The sequence below is a fragment of the Homo sapiens genome, chromosome 1 (assembly GCF_000001405.40).
Source record: "Homo sapiens chromosome 1, GRCh38.p14 Primary Assembly".
Lineage (NCBI taxonomy): Eukaryota > Metazoa > Chordata > Mammalia > Primates > Hominidae > Homo > Homo sapiens.
In genome coordinates, this window is record NC_000001.11 from 151,059,756 (window position 1) to 151,075,052 (window position 15,297).

Sequence of the window (15,297 nt, forward strand, 5' to 3'; positions counted from 1 at the left end):
CCGCCCCTGCGGGGAGAACTGGAGAATGCGGACACCTAGATGAGGCCCTGGCACCCAAGCTGGGGCCCCCGGAATCTCACGTTCCCTTTACTCGCCAGGCATTTCGGGGCAAAACGAAGCGGAGCCCCCCAAACCCCCAGACCTAACCAAGTTCAGAGATTCGCAGAAGCACGCCCCCCACCCCAAATTTATTGTGCTCTACCCAAAATGGAATAGGACTAGGTTTATTTACCCATTGTGAGGGTAGAGAGGCGAGTCTGGAGGAGCAGGGATTGGGAGAAGGGGTGGAAAAATACTCTGATTCTTAAAAATACTTTGTAACCTAAAGTCCTTAAATTGTGGAAGAAAGGAATACTCCTCCTTTCCATTGTAGTCTAGAGTTAAGATTTCAAATCCATAAATTAGAGGACCTAAAATTAGAGGGCAATTAACTGCTCATTCATTGGGCCCCCAGTCAGCACGGGGGTGCTGGAAGAGATCGGGAATAATAGCGCAGACCAATGAGCCTAGGGAGATGCTTTCATCGTCTCTCCTTCCCTCAAGTGTTCTGGAACCTATCATTTGAATTAGCCGAGTCAGGCAGGAGGGGGCGGGGAATCCTTCCGCCCTTCTTAGGAGGGGCTGCATTGCAGGGGGAGAGTGAACTGACAGACTCAGTCACTGAAGAGGGAAAAGGAGTGAGAAGACAAAGCCGTCAAAGCCCCAACAGCTTTGTATTTCTCCAGCCCGGCGCAGACCCCGGAGCTCCCGAGGCACTCCCTCCATCTTTGGAACACGCCAGTAATTGATTGATAACAGGTAAACCAAACTGAGGGAGGGGGCAGGGGGCTGCAAAGATAGAAGAGCGGCTGCTTATGGTTAGATTGAAAGACCCCACATGAGGTGGGGGACAGCTGAAGAGGAGAGAAGGGGGCGCTATGAACAATGGGTAGTTATTTCTTCACAGCATCCATGCCTTGTTACCTTATACAGACCATTAATCTCTAACAATTTACTTGTAGTTATTTCTCAGCACCTACCTCATTTCAAGTATCCTTTTCTGTAATTTATTGTCCTGTGTATTTAATATCTTCAGTCTACTTATCTTCCTTTTCAAACCATAATTTGTTTTACCAGCTGTTTAATTTTTAGTCCTACTGTATCTCTCTGTCCTCTACTTCCCTATACTTGCAATTTTTTTCTGTAGTGTTCTATGTTTCTCTGTAGGAGGGAGTTTGGGAGGGGGTTATATGGGATAATGTTGGGTGTAATCCTGACCTTTCTTTGGATAATCTCTTTCATTCCACCTCGAATCTTTGCTCCAAAGAAAGAGGCAGCCTAGGGTAGGAAAGGTGGGGGCCTCTGTGTTGGAGAACTGCCTGATTCCATAGTGAAATCAGTATAGCCCACAGGAGCTAGGTATGGGGACAGATTCTGGAAAAGAATGATTTGCAGCTCAGTGGAATTGGTGGAGGAATGCTAGTAGGAAAATCCAAGCTCTGACTGAGGCACACATTATGAGATGTCAGAGAGGTTCTGCTCCCCTCTACCACCACCACCACCTTGTCCTTCCCCCTTCCCCATGGTGGCAGCATGACACAGCAAGGCCCTGTTGAGTAGGCCTTGGATGCCCACAAAGGGTCTGGACAAAGGATATTTGGGCGTGTCTGTGTGGCTCCGAGAGTGTATCTTTCTAATCTATACATTTGCTAATCATGTATCTCTAAGAACAGAGTGATAATTAGATATTGCCTTTGCCTAAAATACCCGGATAATTTAAAGTGAAGGATAGTGGGAAGCATTTATTGAACATATATTGTGGTACAAGGCACTGTCAAAACCCTTTAAGTAAATGATACCATTTAAGATAATGAAAGATGTAAAGATAGATGAAGTAGGGCTGGAGAGCATTTGTGGAGGGGAAGGGGAAGCTAGCCAAAAAAGGATCTTTTGCGAAATTTGGAGTATTTGATAATTAAATCCATACTATATTAAATCAAAAATGTCATTACTACTTACATTAGTGAATAGCATTTTAACTTCAATTTTCTGTGTAGTATTACTTTATGTTCTTGACTTGATTTTAATGCCACGTATGTTTGCATGCATGTCTTTCTTGAATGTATTTGGTACCCTGTGTACATGTCTCTGGGTCAATGACATAGAGATTTTAGGCCTTTTGAGTTAATATTTCATAAAATTTGCTTTAGCTTTTTAAATTGCAAGATAGCTCTACCAAACACTCAGGGACTGTTTGAGCAGTTTTTTATACATACTCTGGTTGTAAGAAAAGGAGTCAGTTTGTCGAAGAGCTTTTTTTTTTTTCTCAGATTCTAGCTTGCTCTACTGCCCTTTGCTTTTCCCCATTCAGATCACAATTACAGGAACAATCACCTAAACCACGGAAAATCTATTCTTCAGCAACTAAAAATTCTTTTAAGTTTTGGGAATACTGGTATAGGGTTATATAAAGCTGTTGGCAACTATCCATGTACAACACAAAAAGGGATCAGATTGGGAATTATGAGATCTGGATTCTATACAAACTGGCTGGAAGTCTTCCCAAGTCATTAATTTCTAAGATGTCTTCTAGTTTTAAAATTCTATGATTTTTTCCCCCCATGATTCTATTTTTTTTTTTTTTTTAAGATGGAGTCTCGCTCTGTTGCCCAGGCTGGAGTGCAGTGGTGCAATCTTGGCTCACTGCAACCTCCACCTCCCCAGTTCAAGCGATTCTCCTGCCTCAGCCTCCCGAGTAGCTGGGATTATAGGCGCCTGCCACCACACCTGGCTAATTTTTGTATTTTTAGTAAAGACGGGGTTTCACTATCTTGGCCAGGCTGGTCTCGAATTCCTGACCTTGTGATCCACCTGCCTCGGCCTCCCAAAGTGCTGAGATTACAGGCGTGTGCCACCGCGCCTGGCCCCATGATTCTATTTTTTAAAGAGCCTATAATGTGGCCTGCATTATACTAAGCTCATTCTGGAGAAGACTTGTCAGGTAGGATAGAGAAAAGAACCCAGCTAGCTGTGAAAATAACTGGTAACAGTAAGAATCCCTGTAGCCACAAGTCCATAACAGTATTGACTCCTAGGTATGCTTCTTAGAATCTCTATAGTCCCAGATTTAAGCAGTGGGTGGTTGGTTAATGGATACAACCATTTTTTGTAGCTCTCTTTCTGCACACGTCTCTGCAAAGTACTATGGAGATTATCAGAGTTGAGTATCATAGGATGATGACCTCACCTTTCCAACATGCTCCCCGACCCTGCTGCAATCCCGGCATCACCCTCCTTCTAAGCAGCTTCTCTGCTGAGTAATGCTCAGTTCCCAGGGTTTATTTTGGAACTTAAACTAAGAAAAAGAACAACTCAGAATTCACTTTCAACATTAAAAACATCCTAGCCTACCCACTCACCATTCCTGAAGCCCCCACACTCTCACACATCACTGTGTTCTAGATTAACACTTTCTTTTTCTGCCTTAGTACAGTCATTTCACATTATACTGGAGCATTTTGGAACCTATTTAAGGCCATTATTTAGGAGTCTCTGGCCTGGTGAGACCCAATAGGGTGTGTTGGAGAAAGGCCTTTTGAAACTTGGGGTTCTGTTTTTGGAGGTGATAGAATGTTCTTTCTGCTCCTTTGGGAACATTTCAACTAATGCTTCTTTTTTTAATTTTTATTTATTTATTATTATTATTATTGAGACGGAGTCTTGCTCTTTCGCCCAGGCTGGAGTGCAGTGGCGCTATCTCAGCTCACCGCAAGCTCCGCCTCCCAGGTTCGCGCCATTCTCCTGCCTCAGCCTCCCAAGTAGCTGGGACTACAGGCGCCCACCACCGCGCCCGGCTTAATATTTGTACTTTTAGTAGAGACGGGGTTTCACCGTGTTAGCCAGGATGGTCTCGATCTCCTGACCTCGTGATCCACCCGCCTCGGCCTCCCAAAGTGCTGGGATTACAGGCGTAAGCCACCACGCCCGACCACAACTAATGCTTCTTGACCCTTGGCTAGTAAGTAGCAGGGTGGAGGCTGTAGGCAGCTCTAATAGTCCTAAAATATCAGGCAGGGCTTGGGTAGAATGAGTAGAGAAAGTGATAGATCCATTAACGCATGGAAGAGTATCTGATTCTGTTAAAATACCTTCTTCCAATCTGAACTTTACTTTAAATCCAAATGGATTTCCAATCCATTTGCTCTCATTATCATCAGTATACTCGAGCACTGGGATCAGAGAAAAGAGATCCCTGTTACAGCATAGGAAAGTTATTTATTTATTTATTTATTATTACTTTTTTTGAGATGGAGTTTCGCTCTTGTTGCCCAGGCTGGAGTGCAATGGCGAGATCTCGGCTCACTGCAACCTCCACCTCCCAGGTTCAAGCAATTTTCCTGCCTCAGCCTCCCAAATAACTGGGATTACAGGCATGCGCCACCTCGCCTGGCTAATTTTGTATTTTTAATAGAGACAGGATTTCACCATGTTGGTTGGGCTGGTCTTGAACTCCTCACCTCCTGATCTGCCTGCCTCGGCCTCCCAAAGTGCTGGGATTATAGGCGTAAGCCACTGCACCTGGCTAGGAAAGTTCTTTTAGCACCTAGGTTTTGTTCTGAAGGAGAGGTAGGCTAGAGAGAAATGGATTGTTAAGGCTTACCTGTGGGCTAATATAAGGGAATGGCAAGGTATTAATTAAATAGTGAGGGAAAGTTAATCAGCAGCCTTGAATGGCTTTGTGTACAAAGCCCACCACTTGTGTACAGAGAAAGTAGATTGGTCTTTACCCTTGGGGAAACTCCTAGGTATGGGGACAGATTCTGGAAAAGAATGATTATTTGCAATTCAGTGGAACTGGTGAGGGAATGCTAATAGGAAAATCCAAGCTCTGACTGAGGCACGCATGGTGAGATGCCAGAGAGCTTCTGCTCCCCTCTACCACCACCTTGTCCTCCCCCTTTCCCCATGGTGGCAGCATGACACAGCAAGGCCCTGTTGAGTAGGCCTTGGATGCCCACAAAGGGTCTGGACAAAGGATGTTTGGGCGTGTCTGTGTGGCTCCGAGAGAGTGTATCTTTCTAATCTACATATTTGCTAATCATGTATCTCTAAGAACAGAGTGATAATTAGATATTGCCTTTGCCTAAAATACCTGGATAATTTAAAATGAAGGATAATGGGAAGCATTTATTGAATATATATTGTGGTACAAGGCACTGTCAACCCTTTAAGTAAATGATACCGTTTAAGATAATGATAGATGTAAAGATAGATGAAGTAGGGGTGGAGAGCATTTGTGGAGGGGAAGGGGAAGCTAGCCAAAAAAGGGGTCTTTTGCAAAATTTGGAGTATTTGATAATTAAATCCATACTATATTAAATCAAAAATTTCATTACTATTTACATTAGTGAATAGCACTTTAACTTCAATTTTCTGTGTAGTCTTATTTTATGTTCTTGACTTGATTTTAATGCCACATATGCTTGCATGCATGTGTTTCTTGAATGTATTTGGTACCCTGTGTACATGTCTCTGGGTCAATGACATAGAGGTTTTAGGCCTTCTGAGTTAATATTTCATAACATTTGCTTTAGCTTTTTAAATTGCAAGATAGCTCTGCCAAACCCTCAGGGACTATTTGAGCAGTTTTTTATTCATACTCTGGTTTTAAGACAAGGGGTCAATTTGTCAAAGAGCTTTTTGTTTTTCTCAGATTCTAGCTTGCTCTCTACTGCCCTTTGCTTTTCCCCATTCAGAAGGCAATAAGGCCATCCCTATACATAAAATACATTAACAGTGATCTGTAATCCCAAACTGATGGAGTTAGGTAAAACTCTACAGGGTGTTGGGGGAGATGCTGGAGGAAATAGAGTAGATGAAGCTGAGTAAAAGTTTAAGGAAGTCATCTGCAAGAGGTGAGTTTATAGTAGGATTTAGAAGGCAAGAAGGAAAATAGAAAGCAGAAAAGTCACGGAAGGTCTTTTCACACATACCATGAGCTATTAAACCAAAGTCAGGAGGAAGTCAAGTATTTTTAAGTATAATAGGAGTTTGGGCTAGGGGAACGGGGGTTCCTCTATAGACTTGGAGTTTTTTGTTTGTTTTGTTTTGTCTTTTTGTTTTTTGAGACAGGGTCTCACTCTATTCCCCAGGCTGGAGTGCAGCGGCACAATCTCAGCCCACTGGAACCTCTGCTTCCTAGGCTCAAGTGATTCTCCCACTCAGCCTCCCAAGTAGCTGGGACTACAGGCGTGCACCACCAGGCCCAGCTAATTTTTTGTATTTTTTGTAGACGGAGTTTTGCCATGTTGCCCAGGCAGGTCTGGAACTCCTAGTCTCAAGTCATCCGCCTGCCTTAGCCTCCCAAAGTGCTGGGAATACAGGTGTGAGCCACTGAGCTCTTGAATGGAGTCCTGAAATGTGGAAAGTCTTTTTTTTAAGACAGAATCTTGCTCTGTTGCCCAGGTTGGAAGGCTCACTGCAACCTCACCCTGCTGGATTCCAGCAATTCTCGTGCCTCAGCCTCCCTAGTAGCTGGGACCACAGGCACAAACCACCATGCCTGGCTAACATTTTGTATTTTTAGTAGAGGCAGGGTTTCCCCATGTTGGACAGGCTGGTCTCAAACTCCTGGCCTCAAGTGATCCACCCACTCTGCCTCCCAAACTTCTGAGATCACAGGCATGAGCCACCACACCTGGCTGAAATGCGGAAAGTATTTTAAGGTGGAGAATGGAGAGAGTTAAGCAAGACAGGAATGAGCATAACTGTAACAGAGGATATACCACTGCTGGGAAGAATGGGCTAGATTTTGGAAGGCCTTGAAAATCAGACCCAAGATCAATTTGATGCAATAGATGGTAAATAAGTCATTCCAAGATGGGAAGTTTAGAAAATAGTAGAAATTCGGCCGGGCGCGGTGGCTCACACCTGTAATCCCAGCACTTTGGGAGGCCGAAGCAGGCAGATCACGAGGTCAGGAGATCGAGACCATCCTGGCTAACATGGTGAAACCCCGTCTCTACTAAAAAATACAAAACATTGGCCGGGCGTGGTGGTGGGCACCTGTAGTCCCAGATACTCGGGAGGCTGAGGCAGGAGAATGGTGTGAGCCCAGGAGGTGGAGCTTGCAGTGAGCCAAGATCGTGCCACTGCACTCCAGCCTGGGCGACAGAGCAAGACTCCGTCTCATTGAGAGAAAAAAAAAAAAAAAGTAGAAATTCATAATAAAGGGTTTCTGAAGCTTGTCCAAGGGAACTTGGATTCTCTCCAGAGGCAATTGGGGATGGTGAGTTTCTTTTTTTTCCTCCCCAAATTCCTTTTTACTGGTGGGATTGGAGGATATACAATTTTCTTTCTTTAATAGAAAAAAAAAAAAAAAAGAAATTCCTTTTTACCAGTATGTGGAGTATCTAAGCAAGGAAAGGCCATGGGCCACAAAGAAGTTGCTGTAGCATGAAGACTGACAAGTGGTTTCTTTCTAGGAAGCTATGAGGGACCCTGTGAGTAGCCAGTACAGTTCCTTTCTTTTCTGGAGGATGCCCATCCCAGAACTGGATCTGTCGGAGCTGGAAGGCCTGGGTCTGTCAGATACAGCCACCTACAAGGTCAAAGACAGCAGCGTTGGCAAAATGATCGGGCAAGCAACTGCAGCAGACCAGGAGAAAAACCCTGAAGGTGATGGCCTCCTTGAGTACAGCACCTTCAACTTCTGGAGAGCTCCCATTGCCAGCATCCACTCCTTCGAACTGGACTTGCTCTAAGGCCAAGACTTCTCTCTCCCATCACCTTGCCCTCATTGTCTTCCCTCTCAAGCCCCTTCCTTTCCACTCCTTTCCCATTTTAATCTTGTTCTCTCCCTACTGTGTTGGTGGTGCTGATGAATCTGCCAGAGTTGAGTTCTATGTATTTATTTATCTATCTGTCTACTCCATTTCTCTCAAAAGCCCTCAAGTCACAAAGTAAATGGTTCAAGCAATGGAGTACTGGGTCACAGGGATTCCTCCTTTCCCCCCCAAATATTAACTCCAGAAACTAGGCCTGACTGGGGACACCTGAGAGTAGTATAGTAGTGCAAAATGGAAGACTGATTTTTGACTCTATTATAATCAGCTTCAGAGATTCCTTAAACCTTCCTAATTTCCTGCTCCAGGGCAGTAAACACAAATATTTCTTCAAGGGGTGATGAAAACCTCGGAAGTTTTAATTTGAGGTTATCTGCTACGAAACAGTATTTCTAAAAGGCTAAAGTGATAAGTCTCTTGCTTTTTTTTGATCCTGCTCTTATATTCTTTTTTTTCCTCAGAGAAATCAGGAGGGTAGTTAGAGGTATAAAACAGGAGGAAATATTATGGAAAATGAAAATAGGGAAAATAATTGAATCATTTTAGAAGTAGCTAATTTCTTTTCTCAAAAGAGTGTCCCTTCTTCACACCTACTCACTTTACAACTTTGCTCCTAACTGTGGGTTGAAAACTCTAGCTAAAGAAAGTTATCAAATCTTAACATGCATTCCTACTATTATGATAGTTTTTAAGGTTTCAATTCAATCTTCTGAACGGCATAAGTCCTATTTTAGCCTTACCTCCTGCATTTGCAATACGTAATACTGATCAGTGGGCACAGTTCTTCAGCTACATTGAGACCCTGAAATGAACAATTATATTCTGACTCGACATCTTGTCCCCAATCCTTCCAAAAATATTGATGGTGATTTGTGCTACCATTTACTCGTTTATTTAATAAAGACATTCAATCCCAGGACTGGAGTCTAATTTTCTCTCTTCACAAGAAAAGCCACAGAAATCTGAGAAATTAGCCTTGCTTTCACACTTAGCTTATACATCTTTTTTTTCTTTTTTATTTTTGAGACAGGGTCCCACTCTGTCACCCAGGCTGGAGTGCAGTGGCGGGGATCACCGCTCACTGCAACCTCCACCCACCAGGGTCAAGGGATCCTCCCACCTCAGGCTCCCAGGTAGCTGGGATTACAGGCGCCTGCCACCAGGCCTGGTTAATTTTTGTATTTTTCATAGAGACGGGGTTTCACCATGTTGGCCAGGCTGGTCTCTAACTCCTGACCTCAGGTGATCTGCCCGCCTTAGCCTCTCAAAGTGCTGAGATTACAGGCGTGAGCCACTGAGCCCGGCCTCATTTTATCTTTCTATAATAATATTCAACTTAGAGGAAGAATGATTTGAGTAGCATTTAGACATTAGATGGTGAACTTCGCATTGAACAGATAATGAAAGGGCAAAATCAACTTAAAATTAGAAAAGTAGTTAGGGAGACAGGTACAACCACTCTTCTGCTTGCCCACTGACTACCAACATTATATTTCAGGTAATAATTCTCCTAGGTGCCTAAGAAGATAAACGAATTCACTCAAATATGTTATCTGCTTAACTTCTGGTTTTTGTGTGCCTGCTATAGGAAAGCACTGAGCCAAACAGAATGTAAACGGGAATGAGACAAGACTCCAACTCTCAAAAGAGAAACTGTAAATACCAATATGGATAGGACAGAATTGGGCAGTGTACTATAAATAAGGATGACACTATACCCTAAATAAGGATGATCTAGAGAAGTCCCCAGGTGGGAGAAAAAAAGACAAATCCTCCCTCTAGGCCATGAAAAGCCCACATCTAAAGACGGTCCCAGTCTAACGAAGAATGGGGCCAGGAAGGATAAGTAGTGCGTCCTTTTCTATTTTTACTGAGTTTTGAAGGGCCCCTTCAGAGTCCTTCAGCCATGGCAATTGGTGGGTGGAGACAGGGATCAACTGTTTGGTAAATAAAGTGACTAAATGGATTTGCAAACTCATGCTCCATCCTCTTGCAGGCCTCCAAAAAGAAATGACTCAGGCCGGGCGCGGTGGCTCACGCCTGTAATCCCAGCACTTCGGGAGGCCGAGGCGGGCCAATCACTTGAGGTCAGGAGTTCGAGACCAGCCTGGCCAACATGGTAAAATAAAACCCCATCTCTACTAAAAATACAAAAATTAGCCCAGCGTGGTGGCGGACGCCTGTAATCCCAGCTGCTGGGGAGGCTGAGGCAGGACAATCACTTGAACCCGGGAGGCAGAGGTTGCAGCGAACCGAGGTCACGCCACTGCACTTCAGCCTGGGCGACGGACGAAGCGAGACTCCGTCTCAAAAAAAAAAGGCCGCGCGCGGTGGGTCACGCCTGTAATCCCAGCACTTTGGGAGGCCGAGGCGGGTGGATCACGATGTCAGGAGATCGAGACCATCCTAGCTAACACGGTGAAACCCCGTCTCCACTAAAAATACAAAAAAATCTCCGGGCGTGGTGGCGGGCGCCTGCAGTCCCAGCTACTCCGGAGGCTGAGGCAGGAGAATGGCGTGAGCCCGGGAGACGGAGCATGCAGCGAGCCGAGATCGAGCCACTGCACTCCAGCCTGGGCGACAGAGCGAGACTCCGTCTCAAAAAAAAAAAAGAAAGAAAGAAAAGAAATGACTCAGTTATTTGTTTCACTGTTCTCACTGACAGCTTGGCTCTGGGGTCCTTACATTCGGCCTGTAACTGGAAAAATGTGTCCATCAGGCACCAGAACCCAATGCACAAAGCCAGGAACGTCCCAAACAGCTGCAGCCGAGGTTGGGATAAGGAAACGAGGCTTTCCTGTCAAACTAAACCTGGCCGCCCCGGACCCCGAAGAAGCAGCCAAGAGTTAAGACGCAATCTGCATGACTGACGCACGCTCCGAGTCTCCCTCAGCAGTTCGCCAGGTTCTTGGCGCCAACACCAGACCTAGGATCCGTCCCCTGCTGGAACTATTCAGACGCGCAAGATACGTAACCAGCAGTCCTCCGCCCCGTTAAATAGTCCTGCCTAGCATGCCTCGGTGACGCACTTTTCCACCTCAGAAGTGCCTCAGCAGAAAGGCGATGAACCTCGGGGGTGCATCATCTTTCTGTTAGAATGGGAGCATGAGTTTTCTGATCATTTTCCCTTCACAGATTCCTCCGCCAGAAATCTTACTCGCGGCGCCTTCATTTCCGGGTCCGCCATTTTGTTGCCTCTGTTTCTCCACGAGGGGGGGTTAAAGGCCCCCAAAACATGCACACATGAAAAGGGCAAAAAGTAACCGTCCTTGACAGGGAGTCTTAACTAGAGAAGGAAACGGGACTAAACTGGCGGGCTCCGTGGAAGCGTGGCCGGCAGCGTCCCGGACGAGGAGGTGAGGAGGAAAGAAGAGATGTGTGGACTCCGGGGGGCGTCAGGGCTGGAAAGGAAAGTGCCGTGAGAAGTCACACCGCTTCCCAGCCCAGCCTCGGACTTCTGGGTGCAGACCTCGCGGCTCCCCGTCACTGAAGCGGGGGCAGCGGCGGGAGGGGGACGGGGAGGAAGGGGATGCTGTCGGGAGGAAGGGGAGGGGACTGGAAGGAGGTGAAGAAGGGGGTGGGTGTAAGACCTGGGGCTGGGGAGCTGGACCAAGGGAAGCCCAGGCCGCGGAGGTGACCACTAGGGGGCGGCGCGGAGCCGGGGCCGAGGCCTGTCGCCGAGGCTGAGTTTGGCCCCCTGCCCCAAATTGGTTCCCATCTTTCAGACAGACATTGGTGTGAGGAACTGTAGGGTTTATGATAGAGAGGGAAACGGCGACTCTCATTATCTGACCCAAATAATGACCTGAAAGATTACTAGTGAACTCGGTAATCTGAATGAGAGCAGTACGGGCCCCGCCTCTGCTTTTTTGCTCTTTTTTTTTTTTTTTTCAAAACTGAGTCTTGCTCTGTCACCCAGGCTGGAGTGCAGTGGCGCGATTTCGGCTCACTGCAACCTGCAGCTCACTGCAACCTCCGCTTCCCGGGTTCAAGCGATTCTCCTGCCTCAGCCTCCCGAGTAGCTGGGATTACAGGCGTGCGCCACCATGCATGGCTAATTTTTGTATATTTTTAATAGAGACGGGGTTTCACCATGTTAGCCAGGCTGGTCTCGAACTCCTGACCTTAGGGGATCCCCCCGCCTTGGCCTTCCAAAGTGCTGGGATTGCAGGCGTGAGCCACGGCTCCCGGCCTCGCCTCTGCTTCTTTCACAGTTGTTTGTACAGCTGGCCGCCCAGTGGGGACTTGAGCAATACTAAAAGAACCATAGATTCTTCCATTGCAATTCTTTCCGTTGGCTGTCTCCTGTTTTCACATACTTCCTTGAGCCAGAGGTCATCCCATTCCTCTCCCTTTTCCCAAAAGGGCTTTCTCTCTAGGGGGTCCCCCCCAACCCAACGTCTTTGGAAAAGGACAGTCTATGGCTTACTATCAACGATGTAACAAAATTTTGGCCATCCAAGACCATATTTTCATCTAATCACTTGGTCCACCCAATCCAGTAGAGATGTTCTTAGGCATGTATTTTCACACGTGCTTTGATGACAATAAAGAGAAAACTGCCCCATCCAGATTCTTAAATAAACAAAAGTAATTACTCTAATTATCTTGGATAATAGAGTACTTTGTTGTCAAGAGCTCAAGCACTTCATGAATTATTAAAACACACACTTATTGAAAGGTTTTGGCCGGGCGCAGTGGCTCACGCCTGTAATCCCAGCATTTTGGGAAGCTGAGGTGGGAGGATCCCTTGAGCCCTGGAGTTCTAGACCAGCCTGGGCGAAATAGGGAGACCCCTGTCGGTACAGAGAAAAAAAAATTATTTTTAATCAGCTGGGCGTGGTAGTGCCCACTGGTGGTCCCAGCTACTCGGGAAACTGAGGTGGGAGGATCGCTTGAGGTCGAGGCTGCAGTGAGCCGTGATTGCACCACTGCACTCCAGCCTGGACCACAGAGTGAGGCCCTGTCTCTTTAAAAAACAAACAGGCCGGGCGTGGTGGCTCTGGCCTGTAATCCCAGCACTTTGGGAGGCCGAGGTGGGTGGATCACCTGAGGTCAGGAGTTCGACACCAGCCTGGCTAACATGGTGAAACCCCATTTCTACTAAAAATACAAAAAATTAGCCGGGCGTGGTGGCACACACCTGTAATCCCAGCTACCCAGGAGGCTGAGGCAGGAGAATGGCTTGAACCCAGCAGGCAGAGGTTGCAGTGAGACAAGATCGCGCCATTGTACTCCAGCTTGGGCAACAGGAGCAAAACTCCATCACAAACAAACAAACAAACAAACATACTTTATCCAGTCCCCTATTGATATATATTTAGGTTCTTTTCAATCTTTTTATTTCTTTTTATTTTTAGTTTTACTTTTAGAGACAGGGTCTTGCTCAGTACTTTATCCCATCCCCTATTGACATATATTTAGGTTCTTTTCCATCTTTTTTTATTTTTTTGTTTTTAGAGACAGCGTGTTGCTCAGTCACCCAGGCTGGAGTGCAGTGATCATAGCTCATCGCATCCTTGAACTCCTGGGCTTAAGCTATCCTCCCGCCTTAGCCTCCTGAATAGCTAGGACCACAGGTATGGGCCACCACACCCTGCTAATTTTTTTATTTTTGTATTTTTGTAGAGACAGAGTCCCTCTGTGTTGTCCCGGCTGGGATCAAATTCCTGGCTTCAACTGATCCTCCTGCTTTGGCTTCCCAAAGCACTGGGATTTATTTTATTCATCTCCAAAATCCTAGAAGGCAAGTGAGACAGATTTTGTTTCCTCAGTTTATGTATAGGGAAAGTGGAGGTACAGCCAGCAAGGGAGAACATGTTAGTTGTCTGTAGTCAAGGAGTCAGAAGTGCCTAGACTGTTTTCTGATGTATCAGGCTTCATCTCTTGTCTGGTTGATGGGCCACCAGGCAGGTATTGACCACCTGCCAGAACCAGCATGGACAAGATACTGGGAGAATGGCATATAGTTCCCCTCAAAATGCTGTGTTTTTTGTTTGTTTTTTGTTGTTTTGTTTTGTTTTATTTTAAGTGAAAGCAAGTTGCTTGAGAAAGTAAAGGAAGGCCGGCGCGGTGGCTCATCCCCGTAATCCCAGCACTTTGGGAGGCTGAGGCGGGCAGATCACAAGGTCAGGAGTTCAAGACCAGCCTGGCCAACATGGTGAAACCCCGTCTCTAATAAAAATACAAAAATTAGCTGGGCATGGTGGCGTGCATCTGTAGTCCCAGCTACTTGGGAGGCTGAGGCAGGAGAATCACTTGTACCCAGGAGGCAGAGTTTGCAGTGAGCCAAGATCGCGCCACTGTACTCCAGCCTGGTGACAGAGCAAGTCTCTGGCTAAAAAAGAAAGTAAAGAAAAAAAGAATAGCTACTCCATGGGCAGTATTATTATGGTTATTTCTTTTTTTTTTTTTTTTTTTGAGAGTCTTGCTCTGTCGCCCAGGCTGGACTGCAGTGGCGCTATCTCGGCTCGCTGCAAGCTCCGCTTCCTAGTTCATGCCATTCTCCTGCCTCAGCCTCCTGAGTAGCTGGAATTACAGTCACCTGCCACGGCGCCCGGCTAATTTTTTGTATTTTTAGTAGAGACGGGGTTTCACCATGTTAGCCAAGATGGTCTCGATCTCCTGACCTCGTGATTCTCCCGCCTCAGCCTCCCAAAGTGCTAGGATTACAGGCGTGAGCCACCGCGCCCGGCTGGTTATTTCTTGATTGTATGCTAAACATGCTTCCGCTTTTTTTTTTTTTTTTTCCAGACGGAGTCTCGCTCTGTCGCCCAGGCTGGAGTGCAGTGGCGTGATCACGGCTCACTGCAAGCTCCACTTCCTGGGTTCACGCCATTATCCTGCCTCAGCCTCTCGAATAGCTGGGACTGCAGGCCCCCGCCACCATGCCCAGCTAATTTTTTTTTTTTTTTGTATTTTTAGTAGAGACGGGGTTTCACCACGTTAGCCAGGATGGTCTCGATCTCCTGACCTCATGAGCCGCCCTCCTCAGCCTCCCAAAGTGCTGGGATTACAGGCGTGAGCCACCGCACCCAGCAGCCTCCTCTTTTTAGACCATATAGGGTAACTTCCTGACATTGCCATGGCATTTGTAAGCTGCCATGGCATGGCACTGGTGGGAGTGTAGCAGAGAGAACAACCAGAGGTCACTCTTGTCCTCTTGTCGCCATCTTGCTTTTGGTGGGTTTTAGCCAGCTTCTTTACTATGGCCTGTTTTATCAGCAAAGTCTTTATGATCTGTATCTCGTGCTGACCTCCTATCTCATCCTGTAACTAAGAATGCCTTAACTGACTGGGCACAGTGGCTCACACCACTTTGGGAGGCCGAGGTGGGTGGATCACTTGAGGTCAGGAGTTCAAGACCAGCCTGGCCAACATGGTGAAACCCTGTCTCTACTAAAAATACAAAAATAAGCCAGGCAGTAGTGGCACACGCCTGTAATTCCAGCTACTCGGGAGGGTGAGGCAGGAG

General features: G+C 46.4%; 2 protein-coding genes across 10 annotated transcripts in view, besides 7 other annotated features; both read left to right on the plus strand.

The window, feature by feature from the left end:
* Positions 188-779: an enhancer, noted in NCBI's record as "NANOG-H3K27ac hESC enhancer chr1:151032419-151033010 (GRCh37/hg19 assembly coordinates)". NCBI's record gives its function as "activates a minimal SCP1, AML or CMV promoter by ChIP-STARR-seq in primed H9 embryonic stem cells {active_cell/tissue: H9 hESC(primed)}" and the evidence as "EXISTENCE:reporter gene assay evidence [ECO:0000049][PMID:30033119]".
* On the plus strand, positions 642-9,789 carry MLLT11 (MLLT11 transcription factor 7 cofactor). The gene is made up of 2 exons (NM_006818.4): positions 642-798; positions 7,464-9,789. Exon 2 carries the CDS (start codon positions 7,470-7,472, stop codon positions 7,740-7,742), a length of 273 nt encoding a protein of 90 aa, NP_006809.1. The 5' UTR covers positions 642-798; positions 7,464-7,469; the 3' UTR covers positions 7,743-9,789.
* Positions 10,521-11,455: an enhancer, noted in NCBI's record as "NANOG-H3K27ac-H3K4me1 hESC enhancer chr1:151042752-151043686 (GRCh37/hg19 assembly coordinates)". NCBI's record gives its function as "activates a minimal SCP1, AML or CMV promoter by ChIP-STARR-seq in naive H9 embryonic stem cells {active_cell/tissue: H9 hESC(naive)}" and the evidence as "EXISTENCE:reporter gene assay evidence [ECO:0000049][PMID:30033119]".
* Positions 10,879-11,088: an enhancer, noted in NCBI's record as "active region_1706". NCBI's record gives its function as "activates an Ori minimal core promoter by ATAC-STARR-seq in GM12878 lymphoblastoid cells {active_cell/tissue: GM12878}" and the evidence as "EXISTENCE:reporter gene assay evidence [ECO:0000049][PMID:35858748]".
* The window catches only part of GABPB2 (GA binding protein transcription factor subunit beta 2), a 54,782-nt gene continuing 50,490 nt past the window's right edge, over positions 11,006-15,297 (plus strand). For 8 of the 9 annotated variants that reach the window (NM_001323908.2, NM_001323910.2, NM_001323907.2 and 5 more), the window contains exon 1: positions 11,006-11,179. The gene's annotated coding sequence lies outside the window, so the exon portion shown is untranslated. Of the gene's footprint in view, positions 11,180-13,283; positions 13,403-15,297 lie in introns of all 9 variants that reach the window. The other variant, NM_001323912.2, reaches the window with a different exon arrangement.
* Positions 11,289-11,368: a silencer, noted in NCBI's record as "silent region_1311". NCBI's record gives its function as "represses an Ori minimal core promoter by ATAC-STARR-seq in GM12878 lymphoblastoid cells {active_cell/tissue: GM12878}" and the evidence as "EXISTENCE:reporter gene assay evidence [ECO:0000049][PMID:35858748]".
* Positions 11,399-11,558: a silencer, noted in NCBI's record as "silent region_1312". NCBI's record gives its function as "represses an Ori minimal core promoter by ATAC-STARR-seq in GM12878 lymphoblastoid cells {active_cell/tissue: GM12878}" and the evidence as "EXISTENCE:reporter gene assay evidence [ECO:0000049][PMID:35858748]".
* Positions 11,399-12,390: a biological region, named in NCBI's record as "NANOG-H3K27ac-H3K4me1 hESC enhancer GRCh37_chr1:151043687-151044621".
* Positions 11,456-12,390: an enhancer, noted in NCBI's record as "NANOG-H3K27ac-H3K4me1 hESC enhancer chr1:151043687-151044621 (GRCh37/hg19 assembly coordinates)". NCBI's record gives its function as "activates a minimal SCP1, AML or CMV promoter by ChIP-STARR-seq in naive H9 embryonic stem cells {active_cell/tissue: H9 hESC(naive)}" and the evidence as "EXISTENCE:reporter gene assay evidence [ECO:0000049][PMID:30033119]".